The 14,265-nt window shown below is 41.3% G+C and overlaps 1 annotated feature.

Moving 5' to 3' along the window:
* Positions 4,122-4,639: an enhancer, noted in NCBI's record as "NANOG hESC enhancer chr14:87701004-87701521 (GRCh37/hg19 assembly coordinates)". NCBI's record gives its function as "activates a minimal SCP1, AML or CMV promoter by ChIP-STARR-seq in naive H9 embryonic stem cells {active_cell/tissue: H9 hESC(naive)}" and the evidence as "EXISTENCE:reporter gene assay evidence [ECO:0000049][PMID:30033119]".

The following is a 14,265-nucleotide window of genomic DNA, read 5'->3' as shown; positions in this document are numbered from 1 at the left end:
TAATTCTTGTCATAAAATGGGCAAATGGTCTGAGGTGCCTGATGTCCAGGCATCCTTTTACAGATCGGTCCCTTCCTAGTCTCTGTGCCCAATGCAACTCATCCCAAATCCTCCTTCTTTCCCTCTTGCTTGTCCCCTCAGTCACAACCCCAAGCATCACTGAGTCTTTCTAATCTTCCTTTTCTACAGACCCATCTGACCTCTCCCCTCCTCCTCAGGCTGAGGTAGGTCCCAATTCTTCCTCAGCCTCCACTCCTCCACCCTATAATCTTTTTATCACCTCCCCTCCTCACACCCGGTCCGGTTTACAGTTTCATTCCGTGAGTAGCCCTCCCCCACCTGCCCAGCAATTTCCTCTTAAAAAGGTGGCTGAAGCTAAAGGCATAGTCAAGGTTAATGCTCCTTTTTCTTTATCCGCCCTCTCCCAAATCAGTTAGAGTTTAGGCTCTTTCATCAAAAACCCAGCCCAGTTCATGACTCGTTTGGCAGCAACCCTGAGACACTTTACAGCCCTAGACCCTAAAAGGTCAAAAGGCCGTCTTAGTCTCAATATACATTTTATTACCCAATCTGCTCCCGACATTAAATAAAACCCTAAAAATTAAATTCCGGCCCTCAAACCCCACAACAGGATTTAATTAACCTCACCTTCAAGGTGTACAGTAATAGAAAAAAGTTGCAATTCCTTGCCTCCACTGTGAGACAAACCCCAGCCACATCTCCAGCACACAAGAACTTCCAAATGCCTGAACCACAGTGGCCAGGCATTCCTCCAGAACCTCCTCCCCCAGGAGCTTGCTACAAGTGCCAGAAATCTGGCCACCAGGCCAAGGAATGCCTGCAACCCCGGATTCCTCCTAAGCCATGTCTCATCTGTGCGGGACCCCACTGGAAATCGGACTGTCCAACTCACCTGGCAGCCACTCCCAGAGCCCCTAGAACTCTGGCCCAAGGCTCTCTGACTGCTTCCCAGATCTTCTTGGCTTAGTGGCTGAAGACTGATGCTGCCCGATTGCCTCGGAAGCCCCCTAGACCATCACTGATGCCAGCTTCACGTAACTTTCACAGTGGAGGGTAAGTCTGTCCCCTTCTTAATCAGTATGGCGGCTACCCAGTCCACATCACCTTATTTTCAAGGGCCTGTTTCCCTTGCTTCCATAACTGTTTTGAGTATTGACAGCCAGGCTTCTAAACCTCTTAAAACTCCCCAACTCTGGTGCCAACTTAGACAATACTCTTTTAAGCACTCCTTTTTTAGTTATCCCCACCTGCCCAGTTCACTTATTAGGCTGAGATATTTTAACCAAATTATCTGCTTCCCTGACTATTCCTAGACTACAGCCCCATCTCATTGTCGCCCTTCTCCCCAACCCAAAGCCTCCTTCGTGTCTTCCTCTCGTATCCCCCCACCTTAACCCACAAGTATGGGACATCTCTAATCCTTCCCTGGCAACCGATCACATGCCCATTACCATCCCATTAAAACCTAATCACCCTTACCCGGCTCAATGCCAATATCGTATCCCACAGCACACTTTAAAAGGATTAAAGCCTGTTATCACTCCCCTGCTACAGCATTGTCTTCTAAAACCTATAAACTCTCCTTACAATTCCCCCATTTTACCTGTCCAAAAACCAGACAAATCTTACAGATTAGTTCAGGATCTGCGCCTTATCAACCAAATTGTTTTGCCTATCCACCCTGTGGTGCCCAAACCATACACTCTTTTGTCCTCAATACCTTCCTCCATAACTCACTATTCTGTTCTTGATCTTAAAGATGCTTTTTTCACTATTCCCCTGCACCCCTCATCCCAGCCTCTCTTTGCTTTCACCTGGACTGACCCTGACACCCATCAGTCCCAGCAGCTTACCTGGGCTGTGCTGCCGCAAGGTTTCAGGGACAGTCCTCTTTACTTCAGCCAAGCTCTTTCTCATGATTTACTTTCTTTCCACCCCTCCGCTTCTCACCTTATTCAATATATTCATGACCTTCTTCTTTGTAGTCCCTCCTTTGAATCTTCTCAACAAGACACACTTCTGCTCCTTCAGCATTTATTCTCCAAAGGATATCAGGTATCCCCCTCCAAAGCTCAAATTTCTTCTCCATCTGTTACCTACCTCGGCATAATTCTTCATAAAAACACACGTTCTCTCCCTGCCGATCGTGTTCAACTAATCTCTCAAACCCCAACCCCTTCTACAAAACAACAACTCCTTTCCTTCCTGGGCATGGTTGGATACTTTCGCCTTTGGATACCTGGTTTTGCATTCCTAACAAAACCATTATATAAACTCACAAAAGGAAACCTAGCTGACCCTATAGATCCTAAATCCTTTCCCCACTCCTCTTTCCATTCCTTGAAGACAGCTTTAGAGACTGCCCCCACTCTAGCTCTCCCTGACTCATCCCAACCCTTTTCATTACACACAGCCGAAGTGCAGGGCTGTGCAGTTGGAATTCTTACACAAGGACCAGGATGGCATCCTGTAGCCTTTTTGTCCAAACAACTTGACCTTACTGTTTTAGGCTGGCCATCATGTCTCCGTGCAGCAGCTGCTGCTGCCCTAATACTTTTAGAGGCCCTCAAAATCACAAACTATGCTCAACGTACTCTCTACATTGCTCATAACTTCCAAAATCTATTTTCTGCCTCATTCCTGAGGCATATACTTTCTGCTCCCCAGCTCCTTCAGCTGTACTCACTCTTTGTTAAGTCCCACAATTACCATTGTTCCTGGCCCAGACTTCAATCTGGCCTGCCACATTATTCTGGATACCACACCTGACCCTCATGACCGTATCTCTCTAATCCACCTGACATTCACCCCATTTCCCCATATTTCCTTGTTTCCTGTTCCTCACCCTGATCACGCTTGATTTATTGATGGCAGTTCCACCAGGCCTAATCACCACACACCAGCAAAGGCAGGCTATGCTATAGTACAAGCCACTAGCCCGCCTCTTAGAACCTCTCATTTTCTTTCCATTGTGGAAATCTATCCTCAAGGAAATAACTTCTCAGTGTTCCATCTGCTATTCTACTACTCCTCAAGGATTATTCAGGCCCCCTCCCTTCCCTACACATCAAGCTTGAGGATTTGCCCCCACCCAGGACTGGCAAATTAGCTTTACTCAACATGCCCCGAGTCAGATAACTAAAATACCTCTTAGTCTAGATAGACACTTTCACTGGATAGGTACAGGCCTTTCCTCCAGGGTCTGAGAAGGCCATCGCAGTCATTTCTTCCCTTCTGTCACACATAATTCCTCAGTTTAGCCTTCCCACCTCTATACAGTCTGATAACAGATCAGCCTTTATTAGTCAAATCAGTCAAGCAGTTTTTCAGGCTCTTAGTATTCAGTGAAACCTTTATATCCCTTACGGTCCTCCGTCTTCAGGAAAAGTAGAACGGACTGAAGGTCTTTTAAAAACACACTGCACCAAGCTCAGCCACCAACTTAAAAAGGACTGGACAATACTTTTACCACTTTCCCTTCTCAGAAGTCAGACCTGTCCTCAGAATGCTACAGGGTACAGCCCATTTGAGCTCCTGTATAGATGCTCCTTTTTATTAGGCCCCAGTCTCATTCCAGACACCAGACCAACTTAGACTGTGCCCAAAAAAAACTTGTCATCCCTACTGTCTTCTGTCTAGTCATACTCCTATTCACCATTCTCAACTACTCAAACGTGCCCTGCTCTTGTTTACACTGCCAGTTTACACTGTTTCTCCAAGCCATCACAGCTGATATCTCCTTGTGCTATCCCCAAACCACCACTCTTAACTCTTAAATAAATAATCTTTACTGGCAAGGCTATGCTGAACCTCCTTAGGCACTCTCTAATTAGATGTCCTAGGTCCTCCCAATTCTTAGTCCTTTAATACCTGTTTTTCTCCTTCTCTTATTCCGTTTAGTTTTTCAATTCATACAAAACTCTATCCAGGCCATCACCAATAATTCTAAATGACAAATGTTTCTTCTAACAACCTCACAATATCACCCCTTACCACAGAATCTTCCTTCAGCTTAATCTCTCCCACTCTAGGTTCCCATGCTGCCCCTAATCCTGCCGGAAGCAGCCCTGAGAAACATCGCCGATTATCTGTCCATACCATCCCCCAAAATCTTCACCGTCCCAACATTTTACCACTATTTCATTTTATTTTTCTTATTAATATAAGAAGACAGGCATGTCAGGCCTCTGAGCCCAAGCTAAGCCATCATATCCCCTGTGACCTACACATACACATCCAGATGGCCGGTTCCTGCCTTAACTGATGACATTCCACCACAAAAAAAGTGAAAATGGCCTGTTCCTGCCTTAACTGATGACAATGTCTTGTGAAATTCCTTCTCCTGGCTCATCCTGGCTCAAAAGCTCCCCTACTGAGCACCTTGTGACCCCCACTCTGCCCGCCAGAGAACAACCCCCTTTGACTGTAATTTTCCTTTATCTACCCAAATCCTATAAAATGGCCCCACCCTTATCTCCCTTTGCTGACTCTATTTTCGGACTCAGCCCGCCTGCACCCAGGTGAAATAAACAGCCTTGTTGCTCACACAAAGCCTGTTTGGTGGTCTCTTCACACGGACGCGCATGAAAGGCTTATTTTAAGTTGATTGCTTCTAGTAATGTCCTATACTTTTAAAAAAGACAGTATAGAATATAAAGCAAGACAACACAACTGAAACACTGAGCGTGACTAGAAAAATGACACTAGCAGCCTGAAATTTCTTAATCTCAGTCACTCCAGGCTTAAACTGTAAGTGGAGAGTGCAATGTCCAGCAATTTAACCCCTCTAAAATGAAAACAGCAAATATCAGGGCAAATAGTGCCTCCTAAAATATTCTGTTCTCCTGAAGGCAATTTCAAAGCTTTCTTTTCTTTGGTTTTCCCCGTTAAGCCATAGGTTAAGTCCTTAACTCTTACTTATTTTTGCTGTTTTGTAATAAAATTCTCATCTGGGCATCATTGACCTAGTTTAATGAATTTGTGAATTACAATAGCTTAGTCTTTTTCAAACGTTAGTGTATTCATCCGTTCTCACACTGCTATGAAGAAATACCTGAAACTGGGTAATTTATAAAGGAAACAGATTTAATTGACTCACAGTTACTCATTGCTGGGGAAGCCTCAGGAAACTTACAGTCATGGCAGAAGGTAAAGGAGAAGCAGGAACCTTCTTCACAGGGTGGCAGGATGGAGTACAGGCAAGCAGGGGAAATGCTAGATGCTTAGATCCTTATATAACCCTCAGATCTCGTGAGATTCATTCACTATCACAAGAATAGCATGGGGGAAGCCACACCCATGATTCAATTACCTCCACCTGGTCCTGTCTCTAACATGTGGGAATTATGGGGATTACAATTCAAGGTGAGATTTGGGTGAAGACACAGAACCAAACCGTATTAGTTAGTGTGCATGAATCACTTGGACACCTTTTTGAAATGCAGATTCTGATTTGGTCAGTGTGAGTGAGGTGGAGGTGCTAAGATTCTACATTTCTAACAAGCTCTCAGCTGATGCTGGTGATGCTGGTCTCCAGACCACACTTTGAGTAGGAAGGTTTTGGTTTCCAAACCTAGGTGATCTCCAAAGTCACCTGGGAAGCTTTTGGGACTACATAGATAAATGGTAACATGCCCAGACTTGCTAAATCAGATTCTCCAGCATCTTAGAGTCTGAGAATTTGTACTTTTAAAAAGTTTGCCCATTAGAAATCCACAGGGATCCAGGAGAACGGTAAAAACAGCTAACGATCCCTGGGGCATGTTGACTAACCAAACAGAAAACAGACCAGCTACAGCACTGCAATGAAGTTCTGAGCACCTGCTCTCCCAGGTGTTATTGTTTCAGCTGCTGAATATGGGGAAGTAGAAGTGCCCCAGGCTAGGACTTGGAGAGATTAGGTGGTCATTTTGGCATTTGCACTGACAGTGAAAGTTGGGTGTCAGGAAAGCTGTTATTTACTAATTGCTATATTTTAACATTTTATTAACCAGTTTGACCAGCTTTGTTCATTGTGTAAGACTGTCAGCTTAGGGGGTTGAGAAACTTGAAAAAGAAGCAAAAGCATTCATTCCCAAACTTTGGGCACATCAGTTTGTCCTGAGGAGCTTGTTTAAAAAGCAAATGTTTACAGCCCATCTACTGTGATTCTGTTTGGTGGATGTGGGTTGAAGCCAAGGAATCTGCACTTTAAACAAGCCCGGTAGGTGATTTTGAAGCACACTCTTTATGACTTAAAACCTCAGGATCCTCTGCATCGGCAATGGAGCAACCCCTTTGGAACATCCATCTTACAGTTAAGTATCTCATGCCTTTAGTCAATTTGGTTTAGTAGCTGAGAAGTATAAAATAATTGAAATCAATTGAAAAACTAATTTCATGAAACTTTCTTGTATAATCCCTTACCAGTACCAATCATCTGGAATTGTAACACAGGTTTTTCTATTATATGTAACTCGCGTAAATGACCCTTTTCTCATTTTTGCTTCTCAGCTTCTGCCTTAGCATGTAATGGTCTACTTAAGTATTACTTTTGCCTTAGAGAGCAGGAGAGGCCACTGACAATCTTGTTTGAAATGGCCTATAGATAACAACTTTTATTCCCAGAGGTGTATTTTTTTTCAATGTGAATCAAAAAGCATCTTTAGCCTTTCACTAAATTATTGCTCTTTCTGAGAGTCTCCTCATACTCTGTAACATTTTGGGACTGTGTTATCAGCCACCAAGCTGCATTTAGGAGTTGACTCAGTGAATTCTGATTTCCAATGAATTTTGTGCATGTTCTTTGTACTGTTTCACCGCTCAATTTTTCTAAGACTTTCTCAAAGTTTGGTGGGGAAAACCTGCATCAACATAAAAGGGCAGACTTGGAAACACACACACACACACACACACACACACACACACACACACACACACACACACACATAAATAGCAGATTCAAGACAATCTCACCCCTCCCACTTGAATTAGAATCTTAGGACGTGGAGCCTGGAAATCTGCATTTTAGTAAACATTAAGGTTGGATCTTATTTATGCACAGGAGTGCTTGAGGACCCTTGACTTAGCCCTGTGCCGTACTGCTTCTAGCCCTCCTACTTTTCCCCCTCTTCTCTTCTAAAGTCCCTATGGTCAGTGCTTGCCAAGTCCAGTTGTATCCTTGTTAAATAAAAACATATCATGATACTTGTTAAAGTACAGTAATCAGCTGAACACAGTAGCTCATGCCTGAAATCCTAGCCTCCTAATCCTTTTGGAGGCAGAGGCGGGTAGATCACTTGAGTCCAGAGGTTCAAGACCAGCCTGGGCAACATGGCAAAACCCTATCTCTACAAAAAAATAAAAAAATTAGCCTGGTGTGGTGATGCACACCTCTGGTCCCAGCAGCTTGGGAGGCTGAAGTGCGGGGATTGCTTGAGCCCAGGAGGTTGAGGCTTCAGACAGCTATGACTGTGCTACTATACTGTAGCCTGGGCAACAGAACAAAACCATGTCTCAAACACAAAACCAAAACAACAACAACAACAACCACAAAGTACAGTAATTCAGACTCTGTTCAAGGAGGACTATTACAATGGGGTTATTAATATGGCTTAGATTTCAAATTTGTATAATGTAAAACTGAAAAAGAGGAGAAATTGATACAATAAGAACTCACCCCTTACTCTAAGTTCCACCCTCAAGTAATTATTAAGCAAGCATAACATGAATGGTATGCCTTCATGGTTACTGAAAATGACTCATTTATTATTTTCTTCAAATTTAACTTAACACTCACGCAGCTTTGTCACACCAGTTTTCAGCCTCATTTGCTGTGACTTCCTCTACATCTTAACCTCTAATCACAGGCATTCCTTAGGATTCTGACCTCTACCTTCTTTCTCTATGTAGTCTCTCTTTCATAAATGCCACCTATTCCTGTTCATTTTATAAATACCATCTATCCCTATCAATCAACATACAGAAACATCTTAGATCTAAGTTTCAACCCCATATGTATTTATTGTTGGGTTGACTTTTTGTTTGCTATTGGATTATTTGGCATTTACTGGATTTTTGTACACTGTCAGATTTCTCTACAAATTAAACCAAGCTCTTAGAGTTTAAGTCTAAAGAGCCAAAAGTTTACACACCTTCAGGGCTTGGGAATAAAGAAGTCTTTATGTTTTCTTTATGTTTTTTCATTTTCTGTGAAGAAATTCAAGCCTGCTGCAGAAATTTGCATAAGTAACTAGGAGCCAAATGCTAATCACCAAGACAATGGGGAAAATGCTTCCAGGACATGTCAGAGACCTTCACAGAAACCCTTCCCATCACAGACCTGGTGGCCTAGGAGGGAAAAATGGGCTTCCTGGACAAAGTCCAGAGACCCCTGCTGTGTGCAGCCTCAGGACTTGATGCCCTGCATCCCAGTTACTCCAGCCATAGCTAAAAGGGGCAAAGGTACAGTTTGGGCCATGGCTTCAGAGGGTACAAGCCCCAAGCCTTGGCAGCTTCCATGTGGTGTTGAGTCTGCTGGGGCACAGAAGTCAAATATTGAGATTTGGGAATCTCTGCCTAGATTTCAGAGGATGTACAGGCAGAAGTATGCTGCAGGAGGTGGAGCCCTCATGGAGAACCTTTGCTAGGGCAGTGCAAGGGAAATGTGGGATTGGAGCCCCCACACACAGTCCTCATTGAGGCATCACCTAGTGGAGCTGTGAGAAGAGAGCCACTGTCCTCCATACCCCAGAATGGTAGATACACTGACAGCTTGCATCGTACACCTGGAAAACCCACAAGCACTCAACACCACCCTGTGAAGGCAGCTGGGATGGGGGCTACAGGAGCAGAGCTGCCCAAGGCATGGGAGCCCACCTCTTGCATCAGCATGACCTGGATGTGAGACATGGAGTCAAAGGAGATCATTTTGGAACTTTAAGGCTTAATGACTGCCTGATTGGATTTTGAAGTTGCATGGGGCCTCTGGCCCCTTTGTTTGGCCAATTTATCCCATTTGGAGAAATGGGAGTATTTATCCAATGACTATACCTTCACTGTATCTAGGAAGTAACTAACTTGCTTTAGCAGGCTCATAGGTGGAAAAGAATTGCCTTGTCTCAGATAAGACCTTGGACTTGGACTTTTGGGTTAATGCTGGAATGAACTGAAATTTTGGGGGACTGTTGAAAGGGCATGATTGTGTTTTGAATTGTGAGGACATAAGATTTTGAAGGAACCAGGGTGGAATGATACAGTTTGGCTTTGTTTCCCCACCCAAATCTCATCTCAAATTGTAGTTCCCATAATCCTTACCTGTCATGGGAGGGACAACGCAGACATAACTGAATCATGGGGTGGTTTCTCCCATCCTATTCTCATGATAGTGAGTTAGTTCTCATGATATCTGATTGCCTTATAAGGGGCTTCTCCCTTCCCTGGGCACTCATTCTTTTCTCTCCTGTCGCCATGTGAGGACATGTTGCTTCCTCTTCTGCCATGATTGTATGTTTCCTGAGGCCTCCCCAGCCATGTGGAACTGTAAGTCAATTAAACCTCTTTTCTTTATAAATTACCCAGTCTTGGGTATTTCTTCATGGCAGCATGAGAATGGACTATTAGAGTAGATCCCTACAAATCATTATTATTTTAAGACTTTTTCATATAGAATTCTTTGAAATGCTATTTTGAAATCATATTCCAGTCACATATAATCTTGTGTTTTTTAGCATTGCTTTTGTTCCCTTATATCACTTTCTAATTCCTCTGGCTTTCTGGTATCTCAATTGCTGTGGGCACATTTTACAAAGGAATCAATGGCTTTATGATTAGAGTTGAAATGGTTTCAGATCTTCCCAGAATTTTCTAAATATATGCATTTTATCTCACAGCAAGATCTGATATATTCTCAAATACTCAGTTACTTCTTTCCGGTTCTTTGTGATTTGTTGTTGAGGTCTGCATGTTTTATTTTCCTTTCCTGCCTATTTTTCCCCATTTGCATTTCCTGAAAGATGCACACATAGCCCAGAACAAAGAGACACACTTATTCTCTACTTGGCAGAAGAGGTGGCCATTTTAGTTGGGCTGAAAATTAATCACTCCTGAGCATGACTGGGGTGTGACAATGGATTCAGAAGCAAATGATTTTCATAAATTATTAAAATGAAACAATAGTTCCACAAGTTGTCTGAGGCTTGTGATTCGAGCATCTGAATACTAACTGTTTAAGACGTCTATAGAAGGTCTAGTGCAGCAGTTTTTCCTGGAGGAAGAGGTTTCTGTGGATAAATTTAGCCTCTAAGAAATCATTCCTGAGCACGTCTCTTACAGGCAACAAGGATTTTTTTTTAATCTCTTGTATCTTAGTCCATGAAAAGGCCAGAATGTCTCAAAACAAATGCTTCACAAATGCCACAAACAACAAAATTAGATCACTTTGCTTCTATCAGGGAACAGAGGTATCCATAATGTAGTTTTCCTTATTTTTTAAATAAAACTTGTAAAATCTAAATATTTTCAGGTAAGCTGACAGGTATTGAAATGGATTTTTCCCCAGGAGGGTGGAAATGAGGGCAGAGAGTAGAAGTTAGAGAACAGTCAATTGCTTGCTTTTCTGTTCACATCAGTGATATTTTTAATCATGCAGATTAGGTTTTATAACATAATATCCTTTCACTTTTTCTTATCTAAAACTTATCTAACTCTACTCTTAAAGAGCAGCATAAGAAATCTTGGAAACATTTTAATTCCCAGGCTGCATTGCCTTTTACTTTAATTTTGAAGGATGAAGAAATCTTAGCTAGGAAGTATCTAGAGAATTTCGGAAGATTCCTCGAGCAGAACAGTGCTTAATATATTACTCCTTTTACACACTAGGTATGCTTTTGTGGTATAAGAAAATATTACCTTTGAGAGGTCATCTGAGCTTACAGCTCACCCACAGAACTTTCCATTCGAGCAGCATCATTCCATGTCTGGAACTTACAACCTGCTTCTGCTTTGTAAAGGGCAGATTTTGAATATTCAGTTCCAAACCCAAAGAAAGGGCAAGGAACAAAGAGTATAGGAGGAGAGAGAAATAGTTTACAAATAGAAAGTTAGCACTTTATAGACCTGAGCTGCCTGCTGCCTCGTCATCAGCCCCTGATTTGACAACTCTGTCTCCACATCTCTCACCTGTCTTCTCTTTTTTGCTTCATTGCCACCACCTTTACTAAAATTGGTCCATACATTCTAATTACACTACTTCCTGATTCATCATAAGGAAGCCCACTTTCAATCATGGCACTCCAGCCTTCGGAAGCTTTGCATGGCTTTCATTTGCCTGCAATCAGAGTCCAAACCTCTATTGACTTTGGTGCCAAGGAATCCCCCTCACTTGTTCCTCTTACACTCTATTCTTCAATAAGACCAAATGACTCAATGTGACTGGTTGGCCCGTGGCATGAGCTATCTGTAGCTTGACCAATTTTGCAATTATTAATAGTGCCACTTTAACTCTAAAATTGCTTGCCATGGTTTGGATGTTTGACCCCTTCAAAGCTCATATTAAAATTTGACCCCCAGTGTTGGAGGTGTGGCCTAGCAGGAGGTGTTTTGGTTATGGTGGTAGATCCCTTGTGAACGTCTTGGTGCCACCCCCACAGTAATGAATGAGTTCTCATTCTATTAGTTCCCTGGATGTTTAAAAGAGCCTGGCACTCCCCCCCCACTCTCTCTTGCTTCCCCTCTTGCCATGTGACCTCTGCACAAACCAGCTCCCCTTTGCCTTCTGTCATGAGTAGAAGCAGCATGAGACCCTTACTAGGGACTGAGTAGATGCTAGCACCACACTTCTCATACAATCTGCAGAACTGTGAGCCAAAACCTTTTTTCATTACTAATTACCCAGCCTCAGGTGTTTTAGATATCAACATAGACTAGGACATGCTTCAATTTGTGAAATACATTATATGGTTGATGAATGTATCCTACATATGTGATGCTGCATTTGCCATGAACTATTTTCTAGGAACAGGTTCCTCATCTAAACATCCACTGCAATGTGTCTATGTTTTTTCACACTATTCTTTTTAATCTTCTCATTTTTATTCCTTTATCTTTTTTGTTTTTTCTAATCATTGTTTAGTAGGGAGACAGGAAGTACTGTACTTGTTATGGACTAAATGTTCTTGTTTCCCCCAAATTCATATGTCGAAGCCATAACCTCCAAGATGACTGTATTTGGACATAAGGCTTTTTGGAGGATAGTAGGTTTAAATGAGGTTATAAGGGTAGGGTTTTGATCAGATAGGATTAGTGTTCTTATTAGAAGAAATATCAGAGAGATCACTCTCTCTGCCATGTAAAATCACAGTGAAAAGACAATGATCTGCAAGTCAGGAAGAGAGCCTTCATCAGAGTGACCATGAAGTCACCCTAATTTTAGACTCTCAGCCTCCAGAACTATGAGAAAGTAAACTTCTGTTGTTTAAGCCATTCAGTCTAGGCTATTTTGTTATGGCAGCCTGAGATGACTCATTCAATAGTATAGATTAAATACCCTGTGGGCAGAGATTTGTTTTTATAAACATTTTTATATACTCAAAATATCAAGGACAATAGCTTAGTGCACTTCAAACACACACACACACAAACACATCAGTAAAACTATTGTACTTTAATAATTCACTTGAATCAATTGTATTTGACCACTTTTTTTTGCTGCCCCCTTCTTCATTAAACCTCTAATGATTTATGTTTTTTATAGGCATATTTCAAGTTGACTTAGCCTGAAACGTTCAATTTGTGGTCACAGTTTTTGCTGTTCCTGAAATGGCTTATGCTTTGCGTCCTGCCAAACTGATAGCGACACCTCATCCACTCTTACTGCCCTATGACCACCAGAGGACTAGTCATCTTAGACATCAATTAACTTTTTTGACATATCTTGGAGATGTTAACACCTGGTTATAGACAGTGTCTTAAAGACACCCAGATGTTTCAGAAACCAGACATTAAATTTCCATATACTCCATCAAATTCTATCCTTATAGTGGATTCCTCAATTCATGGCTTTTATTTCCACAATATGAAGCTCCAGGATATCAAATATTAGTTTTATGTTTGCTTATGTTTATACTTCAATTTTTGAATGTGTAGCACATAATAATTACTGGCTTATTAATATAAAATGAAAAATATAAGTCCAATAATGCTTTAATAGAGACTATCCATGAATTACTACTTAGCAATAGGTTAGTAGTACACTGTCAACTTATTGCTAAAACTACAGATTGTGTTTTTTAAATGTTCTTTGATGATTAGAAAGACACTTAGGTGGCATCATATAGTCTCCAGGTCATTGTTTTGAACATATTTCTCTCTCTGCTATAGACATGTGGCTATATTTTCCCCATAATATGCAGCTTTTCCTAATTCAGACTACATAAATTTATAGACATTTCTCATGATTATGTTAAAATGGCAAAGCTTTCAAATGTCTTTCTATCACTAATGCCTAATATGTTATCCAATTGATGAGGAGGGAAAAGCTAGTTTCAGTAGAATAAGAACATTTCCCCCCAAGTAATTCTATCTAAATCTGGCATAATATGAACTATGTATCTTTAGGATTACTGCAAAAGACTATAGTAACCTTTTCTTTAGAATGTTCTTTGCATTTTCATGTGGTTTCACACTGCCAGCTTCTTGGACCTGATTCAAAATATCAAAACTCTCCTTATGTTTTCATCCTTGGCTTAAGATAAATTGTTTCTTAGAGAAACTTCTTGTAGATCCAAAAATTTTTGGTCCTAGCTTCTGGAAATCAGAGTGTGATTTTAAGTGAAATTTAAAGACCGTCAGTTTATTGACACAAATTCTCTTTTCTTAATGAGTCCAAATGTCAAGGCTGTGGCTTAGGATAAAGCTCAATGAAATTGTTTAAAATGTAACATGTTATGTTTACCTTAGAAATAATTATTCTAATCATTAACATTTTACTATTACAAAAGAAAACACTTTAGTATTTCAGCACAATGTTAATTTGGGTAAAATTTCATAGTTCTCCAGGAATTCTTCAAATAATATTATGAACAAAGGAAAGAATAGGGATTGTTTAAATTATTCTGTTCAGTGAAACAGATGAAACCTTTCTAGAAGAACAGATTAGCAGAATAATGCCAGAATGAATGTGGCTTCAGCCATTAGAAACAGAGCCAAGCAGAAAGTCAGGTTTCTTGGATTTACCACAGAGCTTGTGAATTGACAAGGCCAGACATC

Source organism: Homo sapiens, chromosome 14, assembly GCF_000001405.40.
Source record: "Homo sapiens chromosome 14, GRCh38.p14 Primary Assembly".
Classification (NCBI taxonomy): domain Eukaryota; kingdom Metazoa; phylum Chordata; class Mammalia; order Primates; family Hominidae; genus Homo; species Homo sapiens.
The sequence above is the reverse complement of the archived record's forward strand: the minus strand, read 5'-3'. Positions and strand labels throughout refer to the sequence as shown.